The sequence below is a fragment of the Homo sapiens genome, chromosome 12 (genome assembly GCF_000001405.40).
Source record: "Homo sapiens chromosome 12, GRCh38.p14 Primary Assembly".
Classification (NCBI taxonomy): Eukaryota; Metazoa; Chordata; class Mammalia; order Primates; family Hominidae; genus Homo; species Homo sapiens.
In genome coordinates, this window is record NC_000012.12 from 116,351,173 (window position 1) to 116,366,776 (window position 15,604).

Here is a 15,604-nt window from a genome sequence, read left to right on the forward strand (position 1 = left end):
GGTCAGGAGTTCAAGACCAGCCTGGCCAACATGGCAAACCCTGTCTCTACTAAAAATACAAAAATTAGCCAGGCATGCTGGTGGGTACCTGTAATCCCAGCTACTCTGGAGGCTGAGGCAGGAGAATCACTTGAACCTGAGAGACGGAGGTTGCAGTGAGCAGAGATCGCGCCACCGCACTCCAGCCTGGGCAACAGAGTAAGACTGCATCTCACACACACACACACACAAAAGGCCGGGCACGGTGGCTCACACCTGTAATCCTAGCACTTGGGAGGCCAAGGTGGGCGGATCACGAGGTCAGGAGATCGAGACCATCCTGCATAATACGGTGAAACCCCATCTCTACTAAAAATACAAAAAATTAGCTGTGCGTGGTGGCGGGTGCCTGTAGTCCCAGCTACTCGGGAGGCTGAGGCAGGAGAATGGAGTGAACCCGGGAGGCGGAGCTTGCAGTGAGCCGAGATTGCGCCACTGCATTCCAGCCTGGGCGACAGAGTGAGACTCTGTTTCAAAAAAAACCAAAAAAAACCAAAAAAAACAAAAACAGGTTTAGAAGGGGAGCCAGGCCCAAGGAGCTTGCAGGAAAGATGAATCAGTCCAGGCAAAAGGTACAGCTCCTGAAGTTTCCTGGAGGAACAGCTTGAGCTCGCTGGCAGGATAAATGGGAGTGGCCCAGATGCTGAGAGGGGCTCGGGCCTCCATATCCCAGTACAAGGGAATAGCACAGATGTTCCTGGAAGTGTTTCGAACATGCTGTTATACCAGAAGCTTGTTCTTAAACATAATTTGAAAGGCTTGCTGGGCTCCCAGCTTTTTTCATAAACCCACCATGTCTACATCATGGAGGTTTTGAGCCTTGGCTGCGTGGAATGTGGATTCAATGAAGCAACCTGTGCTTCAGTTTTTACATCTGAAAAATGGAGATGATAAAGACAACTCCACAGGGGTGTTAACAGAATAAAATGAAACAACGTACTGAAAGCATTTGGAGGCAGTAAAAGGTAGATATTGTCATGTATGTTTATCCTTGCCAACTTGCCACCTCCTGCCTAGTCCCCACCCACAGGTGAAAGAAGGTGAGATAGATGCTACATAGTCCCTAAAAAAAAGTTCTTTGTTTCATCTGTGGCACCACTGATTTATTAATTAATATCTTTGGAGAAGAAGCTGATGCCTGCCTTTTAGCTGCTTTGACCATTGTATAGACTCTGTTAGTTAGTTACCCAATATTCATTCCCTCATTCGACTTTGCTAACAGAATGCAATTTTGCTTGGAGTAGCAATGTGCCAGCCTCAGAGGTTGGATCGAGATGGATTTAAGCAATCTGGCCATGTGACCCAGTTTTGGCCAATGAGATCTATGCAGAAAGCTTCTGCTTTTTTGACAAATGAGTTCACAGCTGGCATTGTCTCTGCCACCCTCTTACTGCCTTGAGTTGGGAAGGTGACCGGAGCTGTGGCAGCCACTGTGTGATCATGAGTAAATGGTGAAATCTGAGACAGTGGTTCTGACATGACCGGGCCACTCAATCAATACCACAATGTCTGTTTAGAGAGAAGATAGATCCTTAGGTGTTTAGCCACTGTAATGGTTTTGGTTATAGGCAGTCAAATGTAATCCTGACTGGTTGAGCAGGGTTGAGCATAGACTGTTCAGAGCCATGAGCACCAAACAATGCATCAAGTCATGGGTATCTGGGGTCTAGAGTCAGGTTACCAGGCAGGCTCAGGAACTTAGAACCCAAGTCCTTGCAGTGAGGCAAGGACTGGAATACAGGGGTGCTGAGTCCCCTTGCTCAGCCAGAAACATGGAAGATGAGTTTGGAGGAGGAGGAAGTGCTTCCATCCAACCTAATAGGCTGGGGCATGTTGAGGACAGAGGAATGGGTCTCCAGCAGGGACAAGAAGGGCTCAAACTCCCTGACATTTGGCTGGATCTGGGGTTTTCACTCCACTGCACGTCCTGCCCACTTGTTTCCTCAACAGATTGTAGTGTCTTGTTCCTCTGATTCTTTCTCATGAGGCCTTATTTTTACAACCTCCCTTTGTCCACCTGTGGCTCAGAATAAGGTAGAAAGCTGAGAGGGCAGCAAGCTTAAAACTCCAAGGGGCGGTAGCCCCTTCTCCCTGGCCACCCTCTCCGTGCATAAACATTTGCTGAGTGGGTGACTGAATGCATGAAGGAGCATATCCTGCAGATTCCATGCTCTCACTATCTGTGCTAATCCATAATAATTTCTATTTGACTTTGGAATGCATTACGTAATTTGCATTCTGCAAATTTACCTTCCTAATTATGTTCTTCTTTGACTAACACAGAACTTAATTTGCACAGATTGAGTGATGGTCGGGGGAGGTTTGCTAGGTGGGATCATTAGGTGGCTAATCCATACATTGGCAGTCAAGAGTTGTCTATATTGGGAAGGTCAACTAGACTGATATTTGAAGCAGGGGTGGCGTGTGTGTGTATGTGTGGGCCTGGCGTCTTGCTTCTGCCTCAGCCATTCTGTGGAAACTGTGTTCCATAAAAACACTGCCTACCAGCTTGGTCTTGGCTTAGGCTTTCTGGCCTATCCTGCCACTGTTCTGAGAGTGACATGGTAGTCCATGGCTTTAAAGGCCCAGCATTGAATTAGATTTACACCTGGCCTTGCTCAGACTTCAGGACCTCAATGCTAGCAACTAGGTTCCCAGGTGAGTATCCTGGGTACAGGGATACTGCATTCTCCCTCCACTTGCCCAATGCATAAAAGAATGAATGAATGGTTGGATGGCTGGATGGCTGGATGGGTGGATGAACTCTTTATACAACAGGTTCCCAGTCTCGAATCTCAGTTCTTTAGAAATGAATGCTGTTTATTGACTCTTGTACCATCCACCCACCTGGATCTTCACTGACTGAACCTTCTGTTAGGGCTGGGTCTGAAGTTCACCTGGACCTTGATTAACTGGCTCTACTTTGCCCTGGAAAGGATCCCAAGCTCTCAATCTGGTTGGAGATTTTAGGCCTTATGTGCCAGGGCCTGGGATGGCTGGTTCCTGGTCTTGTTCTAATGTTTAGATGTCGATGGGGCCTGGCCTGGCCATGTGCCTTTGAGCTGGCAGGTCTCAACCCAGCTGCACAGCCAGCATTCAGTACAAATGAACCACTGATACTCAACTCATTCATAGTCTTTGTCCTGAACCATTCGCTTCAACGTAGCTAGCTTGGATTTTGTTCCTACTGCCTTCTAGGTATCTTGGCTCCCACCCCTATATTAACCCCCGGACTGATTTATGATTCCACACCATTGGCTGTGATCTCATGGTTCCCTCCTGGACAATGGGTCACACCTCACTTCCTAACCCACAATCCTGTCACTGGGCTCTGCCTTTGCTCCTCGATGACGGTTCACGGCAATTTCTTTGAGTACATCACCCATAGCTGCTTTTGATTAACATTGGCCAAATCCAGGACCCTATATCCATGGCATCTTGTAGCCTTCTCTCTCCTGGGTCTATCTGACTTCAGGAAATAGAGCAGGATGTTCATACCGATGAATCAGCTTGGAACCTTAACACCAGGTTCCCCTGATCTCTCTTGGCAACTGTCATTCATCAAACATTGATTAAATACTAACTGCATGTCCAGCACTGTGCTGGGCACTAGAGATTAAATGGTGACCTGAACGTAAGCAGTCATTACACTGAACCCCACTGGAGAGACACACATGTAAACAGCAAGTGCAATGTAGCAAGTTAAAGCCAGAACAGAAGTACCTGAGCTCTATGAACCAGCACAGCACCTCCCAGCAAGGCAAAGTCAGAAACAGAATAAGGAAGATGAAATCGACGTCAGATGCCAAATGGTTTCCGACTAGAAGGCCTAGGGGATTGTTGTCCCTGAGTTTCCTCTCGGGAAACCAGACCTACTTCCTCCTCTGACTAGGGGGTCAGGGGTTGGCAGGGGTTTGTGGGGGAAGAGGCACTGATAGCCCAGGTCTTCCCCTGTCTTTACCAATCATAAGTGCCACACGAGCTGAGCTGATAATCAACTATGGACGGCCAGCCAGGCACTCTCCGCAGCTACCTCGGCACAGAGGAAGACCTTATCAAACCTCACCACTTGAAAGGAGAAGGATTGCTCCAAAGTGAATGCCCTGTTCCTACCGCACAGGAGAGTTGGAGGAATTACTGAACACACCATGACTGCAAAGTCTCACCCAAGATAATGTGGAAAGGACTTTCGAAGAACTCCCTGATTCTAAGAAAAAATTAGAAGGAAGCCGTCATCTCCATGGGATAAGGTGAAAAATCAAGACGCAGATAGCAAAGAGGTCCTGGAGCAAGGCAGCATCAGAGTCGAGAGGAAAGCAGATGACACGAATTAACATGAAGGTTCGTTCCCTTCTCCTCCCCCATCACTGCTCACAGCCCACACTCAGGGTATGATACCCAGAAAAATGACCTCACCCTTTTGGACTGTGGGAGAAGAGAAAATCTGAAAGACTTTGTCATTCTGTCCAAATGATAGAATTTATTTGTTCAAAGATATTACATATACTTTACAAACATTTTTTTAAAGAATTTATTTTGGCCAGGTGTGATGGCTCATGCCTGCAATTCCAGCACTTTGGGAGGCTGAGGCGGGCGGATCACCTGAGGTCAGGAGTTCAAGACCAGCCTGGCCAACATGGTGAAACCCCGTCTCTAATAAAAATACAAAATTCGCCGGTTGTGGTGGTGGGATCTGTAATCTCAGCTACTTGGGAGACTGAGGCAGGAGAATTTCTTGAACCCGGGAGGCGGAGGTTGCAGTGAGCCAAGATGGTACCATTGCACTCCAGCCTGGGTAACAGAGCGAGACTCCATCTCAAAAAAAAAAAAAAAAAAAAAAGAATGTATTTGGAAAGAATTATTTAATTACTATGAATTAATTATCCAAGTAATTAATTATTTAATTACTTGGACAAAAGTATAATAGCAAAGGAAGTAGTGTCAGGAGTGGTGGAGGGGTCATTTTAATGAATAGATGAGGCTTACTGGAGAAGAGAACATAATCATTTTATGAAAATGATGCCGAACGTCCTCAAGAAAGTGCTTTTCCTTCCTCTTCCTGTCTGATTGGGCTCCCCTGTACCATATACTCGCTTTCTGGAGGTGGCATTCCCTCAGAACACAAGCTGGACAAGGCACAAGGCAAGAGACAGGCTTATCCATCAAGGAAGGTCCAAGGCTGGTCACAGTGGCTCACGCCTGTAATCCTAGCACCTTGGGAGGCCAAGAGGGCCGATCACTTGAGCTAAGGATTTTGAGACCAGCCTGGCAACAGGGCGAGACCCCGCCTCTACAAAAAATACAAAAATTAGCCAGACGTGGTGTCACATGCCTGTAGTTCCAACTATTCGGGAGGCTGAGGTGGGAGGATTGATTGAGCCCAGCGGGTGGAGGCTGCAGTGAGTTGTGATTGTGCCACTGCACTTCAGCCTGGGCCATAGAGTGAGACTCTGTCTCCAAATAAATAAATGAAAGAAGGTCCAAAAATATGATCTTTATAATACTTGGTATGTTGTTTATTTCTTTGTCAAAATCTTTTGTGTTAGCCATGGTTCTCCTAGAAGCAGAGACTAAAAATAAATTTAAAGCAGAAAGGATTTATTAGAAGAAAGGTCTGTGGGAGAAGCAGGGAGGGAGACAGAGAAAGTGAGGAGGGCCACACAATCCCAAATGAAGGGGAGAGGAAAGGAAGTTGGGTGGGGGCCTGGAACAGTGGCTCACACCTGTAATCCCAGCACTTTGGGAGGCCGAGGTGAGTGGATCACTTGAGGCCAGGAGTTCGAGACCAGCCTGGCCAACATGGAGAAACCCCCGTCTCTACTAAAAATACAAAAATCGGCCAGGTGTGGTGGCACAGGTCTGTCATCCCAGCCACTCGGGAGGCTGAGGCAGGAGAATTGCTTGAACCTTGGAGGCAGAGGTTGCAGTGAGCTGAGATCATGCCACTGCACTCCAGCCTGGGTGTCAGAGTGAGACTGTCTTATAAAAAAGAAAGAGGGAAGGGAAGGGGAGGAGAGGGGAGGGGAGGCGAGGGGAGGGAAGGGAAGGGAAAGTTGGGTAGGATCTAGTTTATGATGGGTAAAAAAAATTTTTTTTTAAAAAGAAGAAATTTGGGTGGGAGTGTCCTGGACTCCCATGCAGTCTAAGGAAGGTTTGGGAAGGCCCTTGGAGAATTCTCAAGCTCAAGTCACCATTGGAGGAGCCCTGCACCTCCCATGAACAGGCTGCCTTAGTGTCTCTGACGTGCTCAGTTGCTGGCCGAGAGCTGCAGAATTGGGATAGCAGCGCCAGCGTCTGGGGCGCTTGGTCTATTATAGGCTGTATTACTCAGGGTTCTCCAGAGAAACAGAACCAATAGGAAATGTGTAGATATAGAGAAAGAGATTTATTATGGGGGATTGGCTCACACAATTATGAAGACTGAGAAGTTCCACAATCTGCCATCTGCAAGCTGAAGACCCAGGAAAACTGGTAGTATAGTTCCAGTCCAATGAAGCCCAGAGGCCTGAGAACCAGGGAAACCAATGGCATAGGTCCCAGTCTGAATCCTAAGTCCCCCAAACCAGGAGTGCTGATGCCTGAGGGCAAGAGAAGGTGATGTTCCAGCTCAAGCAGACAGCAAATTCATGCTTCCTAAACCTTTTTCTATTTGAGCTCTCAGTGGATGACATGACGCTCACCTGGATTGGTGAAGGCAAACATTATTCAATCTACCGATTCAAATGCTAATCTCTTCTGGAAATACCCTCACGGACATACCCAGAAATAATGTTTTACCAGCCATCTGGGCATCCCTTAACCTAGTCCAGTAGACACATAAAATTAATCATCACACATGGAAGTCTGGTCACTTCACATCTCTTCACAGCGACGGCGGCTCCAGTTTCCAGTCCAAATCAGTGTACGTGCTAGGGGGCTTTCTGCACAGCTTTTGGGTGGGGTAGTCAATCGAAGAGATCAAGTTTGCATGCTGGAATATTTTAGTTGCTGAGATATTTCAATGGTTTGTGAAGACCATGGGGAAATAAACATTTAAAATTAAAAGTGGCTTGGAAAATCAAGGCAGTTTCTCAGCGGTAGTCCCCCGTTGACAGAAATATTTGGGACACTTGTTATAATTTCTTTATTTCTACCCAGACTTATTTAATCAAACCTTGGAGGTGAGAACCAGAGCTCTAATACACACCAATACCGTATTTATAGTTAGCATCAAAGTAAAGGGAAGTTTGAGGTGATTTACACCAAATCCAAACTCAGTGATATCCGAGTAAGTGAAATTTGACTATATTTTAATATTGCAATCTCCCTGCATTTTTCTTGCCACTGATAGCTACATCCACCCTTTTGCTTTAAATTCCTTCTATTTTCCAATCCCTTCTGTCAGACAGCTAAAAAAAAAAAATGGTTACAATATTCTTAGAAAACTGTGCTTCAGAGAAAGCAGTGAGGTTACTCAATTGTTTCTCCTCTGTTAATTTGAGAATCTTAAATTATGCATGTTGTTTTGCACACATTTGCATGTTCAATTCACATGCCTGAGTTATTCGTCTACAAGATAAAACCAAGCATAGTAATTCAAGTAACCTGTGTCTGATTTCTCTTCACCCAAATTTCAGGGCTAACCGAGTTGCAGTTAAAGAATGGATAATTAAATCACTTGGGAAGCGCAGGGGAGTGCTGGTGGATAGGAAAGATGGGGTTACTGAGCCAACTCCTGCCTCCATCCCGTCTGGATTGTCAATCGTTTCTCCTTCCATGACCTGCTGGATTTCATAACCTCCACGAGGCCCCTTTCCCAGAAGGGACTCACTGTCCTGGTTACAATCCTTAAATCTAGCTGGGCAGGAAGGCCAGGAGTGGAGTTTGTCCTCTGCCTGGTGTGGATAACCTTGAACATAAAGAAACCACCACAATACAAACGGCCCTGAAATCTGAACCAATGCCACCGCAATATGCAGATGAGAAAGTCAGAACCATTCCTCCATTGGCTGACTGCCGGCCTGACGTCACAGTGGCCCAGCCCAGCGTGGCCAGAAGTGCTGTGGGCAACTTTCTGGACAAGTTGGAAAGCTTGTGTGTGTGGGTGTGTGTGTGTGTGTGTGTGTGTGGGTGTGTGTGTGTGGGGGGGGGGGGGTCTTTTTTTTTTTATCAGCTGGTGCTGGTTTCCTGCATTTCCTGTGTTACGGGGGGGGAAAAAGGTGTTTATGTACAGCAAGAACTGATGAACTCAGGGCTGAAGAGCATTTTGTTCTCTGTGGCAGCTCTATCCCTTTCCTTAGGGGAGATCTATGTTAGAAACAAAAATGTCATAGGGGAAGGTTGTGAATTCTAAATGAACTGTGGGGACCTCACGAACCTCTTCAGCTTAGTGGTTTCCAGGAAGCCCCAGGCTGAGCCAAACTTTGTGACTTAGCTGGTGTGAGTCTTTGGCTGTGATCTTGACCACAAACTTCAAGATATGCAGGCATGGGAGGCTGGGGGCCTTTTTTATTTTTCTCTACCTCACTTTGCCAGGTTCAATGCAAAGACAGAATCCAATCCTCTGATCTGTGAACTTCTGACGATTCCCCGCCCTCAATGTGCTGGTGGTAGGAAAATTTCCTCTTCTCTTTTCTTTTCTTTCTTTCTCTTTCTCTCTTTCTTTCTCTTTCTTTCTCCCTCCCTGCCTTCCTGCCTTCCTTCCCTCCCTCCCTCCTTTTCTTTCTTTTCTTTTCTTTTCCCTTCTTTCCTTTCTTCCTTCCTTCCTTCCTTCTTTCTGTTTCTTTTAGACGGAGTCTCGCTCTGTCGCCCAGGCTATAGTGCAATGGCACGATCTCAGCTCACTGCAAGCTCCACCTCCCAGGTTCACGCCATTCTCCTGCCTCAGCCTCCCGAGTAGCCTGGACTACAGGTGCCCGCCACCACGCCCGGCTAATTTTTTAATTTTATTTATTTATTATTTTTTTTTGAAGAGGCGGGGTTTCACCATGTTAGCCAGGATGGTCTCAATCTCCTGACCTCGTGACCCACCTGCCTCGGCCTCCCAAAGTGCTGGGATTACAGGCGTGAGCCACCGCACCGGTCTTCCTTCCTTCCTTCCTTCTTTCTTTTTCTTTCTTTCTTTCCCTCCCCGCCCTCCCTCCATTCCTTCCTTCTTCTTTCTTTCTTTCCCTCCCCTCCCTCCCTCCCTCCCTTCCTTCCTTCTTTCCCTCCCCTCCGCTTCCTCCCTTCCTTCCTTCCTTCTTTTTCTTTCTTTCTTTCCCTCCCCTCCCTCCCTCCCTTCCTTCCTTCTTTCTTTTCTTTCTTTTTTTTCTGACAGAGTCTTGCTTTATCACCCAGGCTGGAGTGCAGTGGCACAATCTCAGCTCACTGCAACCTCCACCTCCCAGGTTCAAGCCATTCTCCTCCTCAGTCTTCCAAGTAGCTGGAATTACAGGTACACACCATCATGCCTGGCTAATTTTTGTATTTTTAGCAGAGAGATGGGATTTCACTATGTTGGTCAGGCTGGTCTCAAACTCCTGACCTTAGGTGATCCGCCCACCTCAGCCTCCCAAAGTGCTGGGATTACGAGTGTGAGCTGCCGCACCCTACCTAGAGAGAGAGATTTCTTACGATGTTATTTGAGCACCTGGATCCAGCTGGACCTGAAACCACAACTCCTGCACATTTTTGTTAATGGCACCAATACATTTACATTTTGATGTAATTTGGATTGAGCTGAATTTCTGTAAAGTCAGTAAAGGAGTTCTCACTGGTACCTCCAACTTCCCCTGGGCCCCTCCCTGTGTGGTTTCTTACTAGTCTCTTCTGCTTCTGTCAGCGTTGGTGGGGGAGGGAAAGAGTCCATGTGATGGCATATGGGTGATAGATAGGGGAGTTGAGTCATGGTGGAGTACAGCCCAGGGATCAACCTAAGGAGACTGGGGTCAGATAGGACTGGGCAACGAATATCCCCTTTCTGAGCCTCAGTTCTCCCATCTGTAACATGGGAAGAGAGACAGTCCCTCCCTCTTGGGGTTGTCTGCAGGTGGGATGTGGTGTCTAGGGCATAATAAGTGCTCAAGAAAAAGTGGCTATTAGAATAGTCCTAGATGGGGTCTTCTCCAGGCCTCTGGTGCAATGCAGGGACAATGGAGGGGAAGGGAAGGTTTTTAGAACCTTCCCTGGGGTTTGTAACCAACAACTCTGGGCCTCTGTTGTCACTGCCAACCACAAGCACCTGCCGAGCAAACGGCATGCACCTGTCACCCGTCACTCCGAGAAGGGGCTCCAATCCAGCCAGAGCAGGCGGCCTCTATTCTAGGCCAGATCCTGGCTGTGTGCAGCGTCTGTGAGCTCGCCCACCTGTTCTGAAACCCAGCTGGGCTCCAGTCTCTGCCTGTCCCACCTCCCACCCCCAGCTTCCTTCCTGGAGCAAACGTTGATCCGATGCCTTTCATGTCCCAGGGACTGTGCTAGGAACCATGGGGATGCAAGGGCAGAAACCTGAGTTAGCGAGTTTCATACTTTGTGCCATGCTGTGTGCCCAGGGTGGGCATTGCATATGCTTGTCTCAGCCACACAAAGCCTGAGAGGTGTGCTAAACACACCCGTTTTGTAGAGGCTCAGACTGAAAGCACTGCCTGCTGAAGGTGGTGGAGTTGATACAAACACTGTGTGTTTCTTTTCTTTTTTCTTTTTCGAGACAAGATCTTGCTCTGTTGCCCAGGGTGGAGTGCAGTGGCGTGATCTCGGCTCACTGCAGCCTCAAACTCCTGGGTTCAAGTGATTGTCCTGCCTCAGCCTCCTGAGTACCTGGAACCACAGGTGTGTGCCACCACACTCGGTTGAGTTTTAAATTTTTGGAAATGGGGTCTCACTACGTTGCCCAGGCTGGTCTCAAACTCCAGGCCTCAAGCAATCATCCCTCCTCGGCCTCCCAAAAAGCTAGGTTTACAGGCGTGAGCCACTGCGCCTGGCCCTGTGTGTTTCTTCAAAGCCCATATTCTTTAATATGCTGCCTGTTACAATAAGGATTACACTGTGAAATGCTATTACATTTAAAAACATAGTGCAGGCCGGGCGCGGTGGCTCACGCCTGTAATCCCAGCACTTGGGGATGCCAAGGTGGGCGGATCACAAGGTCAGGAGTTCGAGACCAGCCTGACCAACATGGTGAAACCCCGTCTCTACTAAAAATACAAAAATTAGCCGGGTGTGGTGGCACGCGTCTGTAATCCCAGCTACTCGGGAGGCTGAGGCAGGAGAAGCGCTTGAACCCGGGAGGCAGAGGTTGCAGTGAGCCAAGATCTCACTGCTGCACTCCAGCCTGGGCAAGAGAGGGAGAGTCTGTCTCAAAAAGAAAAAAAAAAGAAAAAATTAGTGTATAGCTGGCTGGGGTGGCTCATGCCTGTAAACTTGGGAGGCTGAGGTGGGAAGATTTCTTGAGCCCAGGAGTTCGAGGCTGCAATGAGCTATAATTGAGCCACTGCACTCCAACCTGGGTGACAGAGTTAGGTCTTGATTAAAAAAAAACAAAAAAACAACATAGTGCCTAGTATATAGTAAGTGCCAATAAATAGTAGATATAAATCCTACTTGGATTCTAGCTCTCACATAGCCATGGTATGTAGAGTAGGGAGTATGTAGATGTTAATACATCTACATGGTATGTAGATATATTAATAACTGACTCAAAAACAGAAGGCAGGGCTGGGCGCGCTGGCTCACGCCTGTAATCCCAGCACTTTGGGAGGCCAAGGCAGGTGGATCACGAGGTCAGGAGATCGAGACCATCCTGGCTAACATGGTGAAACCCTGTCTCTCTACTAAAGATACAAAAAATTAGTCCGGTGTGGTGGCAGGCGCCTGTAGTCCCCAGCTACTCGGGAGGCTGAGACAGGAGAATGGCATGAACCTAGGAGGCAGAGCTTGCAGTGAGCCGAGATCATGCCACTGCACTCCAGCCTGGGCGACAGAGCAAGACTCCATCTCAAAAAAAGAAAAAAAAAAAAACAAAAAGCAGAAGGCAGAAAGCAGAGCTGTGCAACAGACATAGACTGTGAACCCCATATGTAATGAAACATTTTCTAGTAGCCACATTAAAAAGAAACAGGTGAAATTACTTTTTATAAGATATTTTATTTAGCCCAATATGCCTCAAATATTATAATGCTAACATGTAATCAATATAAAACTGTTGTTATTATTATTATTATTGAGACAGGGTCTCATTTTGTCACCCAGGCTGGAGTGCAGTGGTGTAATCACAGCTGGCTGCAGCCTTGACCTCCTGGGCACAAGCGATCCTCCCACATCAGCCTTCTGAGTAGCTGGGACTACAAGAATGCGTTACCATGCTCAGCTAATTTCTGTGTCTTTTGTAGAGACAGGATTTTGCCATGTTGCCCAGGCTGGTCTCGAACTCCAGGGCTTAAGTGATCTGCCTGCCTCAACCTCCCAAAGTGCTGAGAATACAGGTGTGAGTCACCACACTTTGTTTTTTTGTTTGTTTGTTTGTTTTGAGACGGAGTCTTGCTCTGTCGCCCAGGCGGGAGTGCAGTGGTGTGAACTCAGCTCACTGCAAGCTCTGCCTCCCGGGTTCACACCATTCTGTCTCAGCCTCCCGAGTAGCTGGGACTACAGGTGCCCACCACCATGCCTGGCTAATTTTTGTATTTTTAGTAGAGATGGGGTTTCACTGTATTAGCCAGGATGGTTTCGATCTCCTGACCTCATGATCTGCCTGCCTCGGCCTCCCAAAGTGCTGGGATTTACAGGCGTGAGCCATTGTGCCCTACCCCACAATTTGCATTTTCTGCATTTTTTTTTTTTTTTTTTTGAGACAGAGAGTCTCACTCTGTCACCCAGGCTGGAGTGCAGTGGCATGACCTTGATCTTGGCTCACTGCAACCTCCACCTCCCGAGTTCAAGCAATTCTCCCGCCTCAGCCTCCTGAGTAGCTGGGATTACAGGTGTGTGCCACCACACCTGACTAATTTTTGTATTTTTAGTAGAGATGGGGTTTCACCATGTTGTCCCGGCTGGTCTCGAACTCCTGACTTCAAGTGATCTGCCTGCCTCAGCCTTCCAAAGTGCTGTGATTACAGCCATGAGCCACTGCACCCGGCCAAAAAAAAATTATTAATGAGACATTTTACATTCTTTTTTTTTTTTTTGGACGAAGTCTTTGAAATCTCTGTGTAAGTATAGAGCATCCCAATTGAGGTGCTAAATTTTTATCAGAAATACTTGATCTGTATTTAGATCTCATAAAATTTATGGTTGAATAAGTTCGAGTATAATTTGCATACCCAAGGTGCTCCAAGCAAAGTTTTCCAATAACTGAATGCAGTATTAGTTTTTTTAGCTTAAATATAAAGGTAAATAAAATTAAAAATTCAGTTACACGGTCACACTTGCCACATTTCAGTGCCCAATAGCCATATCTGGCCATTGTGTTAAGCAGGGTGGTAGAAAGGACGCCTGTGAGGTAGAGGATTCCAGGTGAGACTTTAGGGGTTGATATTTAGTGTGGAGAAAATACATGTCAAAACACATGGACAAAAAGAGGCAAATTCTGCGGTTGTCTACCCAATATCTGTAACCCCTTTTCCTTAGCAACTCAATTTAGATTTTTGTTAGGAGTAGCAATAGATCAAATTAAAAAAAAGAAAGAAAGAAAGAAAGAAAAACTACATTTGTGAGCTCCCTTTACAGATAGTGTTCCTAAGTCATATCTTATTAATAGTCACTGGGAAGGCTGGACACAGTGGCTCACGCCTGTAATCCCAGCACTTTGGGAGGCCAAAGGGGGACGGATTACATGAGTTCAGGAGTTCTAAACCAGCCTGGCCAACATGATGAAACCCCATCTCTAGTAAAAATATAAAAATTAGCCAGGCGTGGTGGTGGGCTCCTGTAATCCCAGCTACTTGGGAGGCTGAGGCAGGAGAATTGCTTGAACCTGGGAGGTGGAGGTTGCAGTGAGTTGAGAGGGTGTCATTGCACTCAGCCTGGGCGACGGAGTGAGACTCAAAAAACAAACAAACAAACAAAAAAACTAAGTGGGAAGTAGTTGGGTGGAGCTTCCAGGAAATCTCTTTAAAGAATGGGGCTGACTCACCTGAGATACCCTTCTGCCCTCCCTTCTTCCTCCTTCTTTGTGCCTGGAATGAAGACATGATGGCTGGAGTTGCAGTAGTAATTGTGTGACCTTGATCACTGAAACCATGCTCTAAGGATATCAGAGAGGAAAGACAGAATGAACATGGGATATTGATGATCTGGGGGACATGTCAACCTGGACTTTTTTTTTTTTTAAAAAAAGATTTCTTTTTTAAGAAAAGAAATCTTTACCTTGTTTAAACCACTGTTATTTCAGTTCCCTGTTACTAGAAGTCAAGCACAATTCCTAACTGATACAAAAGTGTGCAAGTGTCAAAAAAGAAGTGAATAGTTTGGTGTGACTTGTGTATTTGATAAACCATCCTAGGAAAAGCATTTGTTTATTATTTACTTAATGAATACTGCTTGCAGGACTTGTAAAGTATAATGTATGTAATCACCACCGCTTTTACGTTTTATAGATAAGGAAACTGAGACAGAAGTGAAGCAATTTGGTCAAGGTCCCAAAGCTAACAAGTAGTGAATGTGGCTGGGCGTGGTGGCTCATGCCTATAGTCCCAGCTGAGGCATTTTGGGAGGCTGAGGCAGGTGGATCACATGAGGTCAGGAGTTCAAGATCAGCCTGGCCAACATGGTAAAACTCCGTCTTTACTAAAAATACAAAAATTATCCGGGCGTGGTGGCACACAACCATAGTCCCAGCTACTCGGGAGGCTAAAGCAAGAGAATCGCTTGAACCTGCAAGGCAGAGGTTGCAGTGAGCTGAGATCGTGCTACTACACTCCAGCTTGGGCAACAGAGCAAGACTGTCTCAAAAACAAAACAAAACAAAAAACCCAAGTAGTGAATGTAGGCTTCCAGTCCAGGCAGTTTGACCAAAGGGCCGCTGTCTTATGTAGAAGTCAAGGAATTACGGCTGAATAATGTGAAGGAATTCGAACTGGGTTCAGACACGTGAACCGTGGCCTGGATGTCCCAATCTCACTTGCCTGGTGTCCTCGGGCCCCTGTGGGTCTCCGAACACCAACTTCAGCTCATCTACTTGGGTGTGCCACACCAGTGGTACACCAGTGTGACTGCACCAGTGTGACTGCAATTGTGTGTGTGCCATTGTGTGTCACACCAATGCGACTGCACTCTAGACTCTGGGCCATTCTCCTGGGATTTGCCTCCAAGCCCCTCCCCCTTCATGATATGCTAACTGGCTTTGTAGAGGTGGCCTGTTGGCGGCACACTGTATTCTGCACATGCTGGAATCGGTGCCAGCTCTCCTGTTTCCCCGCAAGCTGTTTGGTCCAGCAGGGAGCTTCCTTGTTTTTGCTCTAAGTGCAGTGGCTTTCCCGAGGGCGCCCGCAGCAGAAAGGACTGGAGTCGGTCTGTCTGGGCTATTGTTCAGCTGGTAGGCATCCGTATGCCATGCTGGGCATTCATAGCTGGCGTCTATTCTGATTGGCCAGTGGCCATGCTGTGCTGGTTA

At 47.0% G+C, this 15,604-nt stretch overlaps 2 annotated features.

The window, feature by feature from the left end:
- Window positions 7,936-8,025: a silencer, noted in NCBI's record as "silent region_4901". NCBI's record gives its function as "represses an Ori minimal core promoter by ATAC-STARR-seq in GM12878 lymphoblastoid cells {active_cell/tissue: GM12878}" and the evidence as "EXISTENCE:reporter gene assay evidence [ECO:0000049][PMID:35858748]".
- Window positions 9,643-10,179: a transcriptional cis regulatory region, noted in NCBI's record as "candidate enhancer chr12.3954 targeted for multiplex CRISPR interference". NCBI's record gives its function as "positively regulates MED13L gene expression with high confidence in K562 cells {active_cell/tissue: K562}" and the evidence as "EXISTENCE:mutant phenotype evidence [ECO:0000015][PMID:30612741]".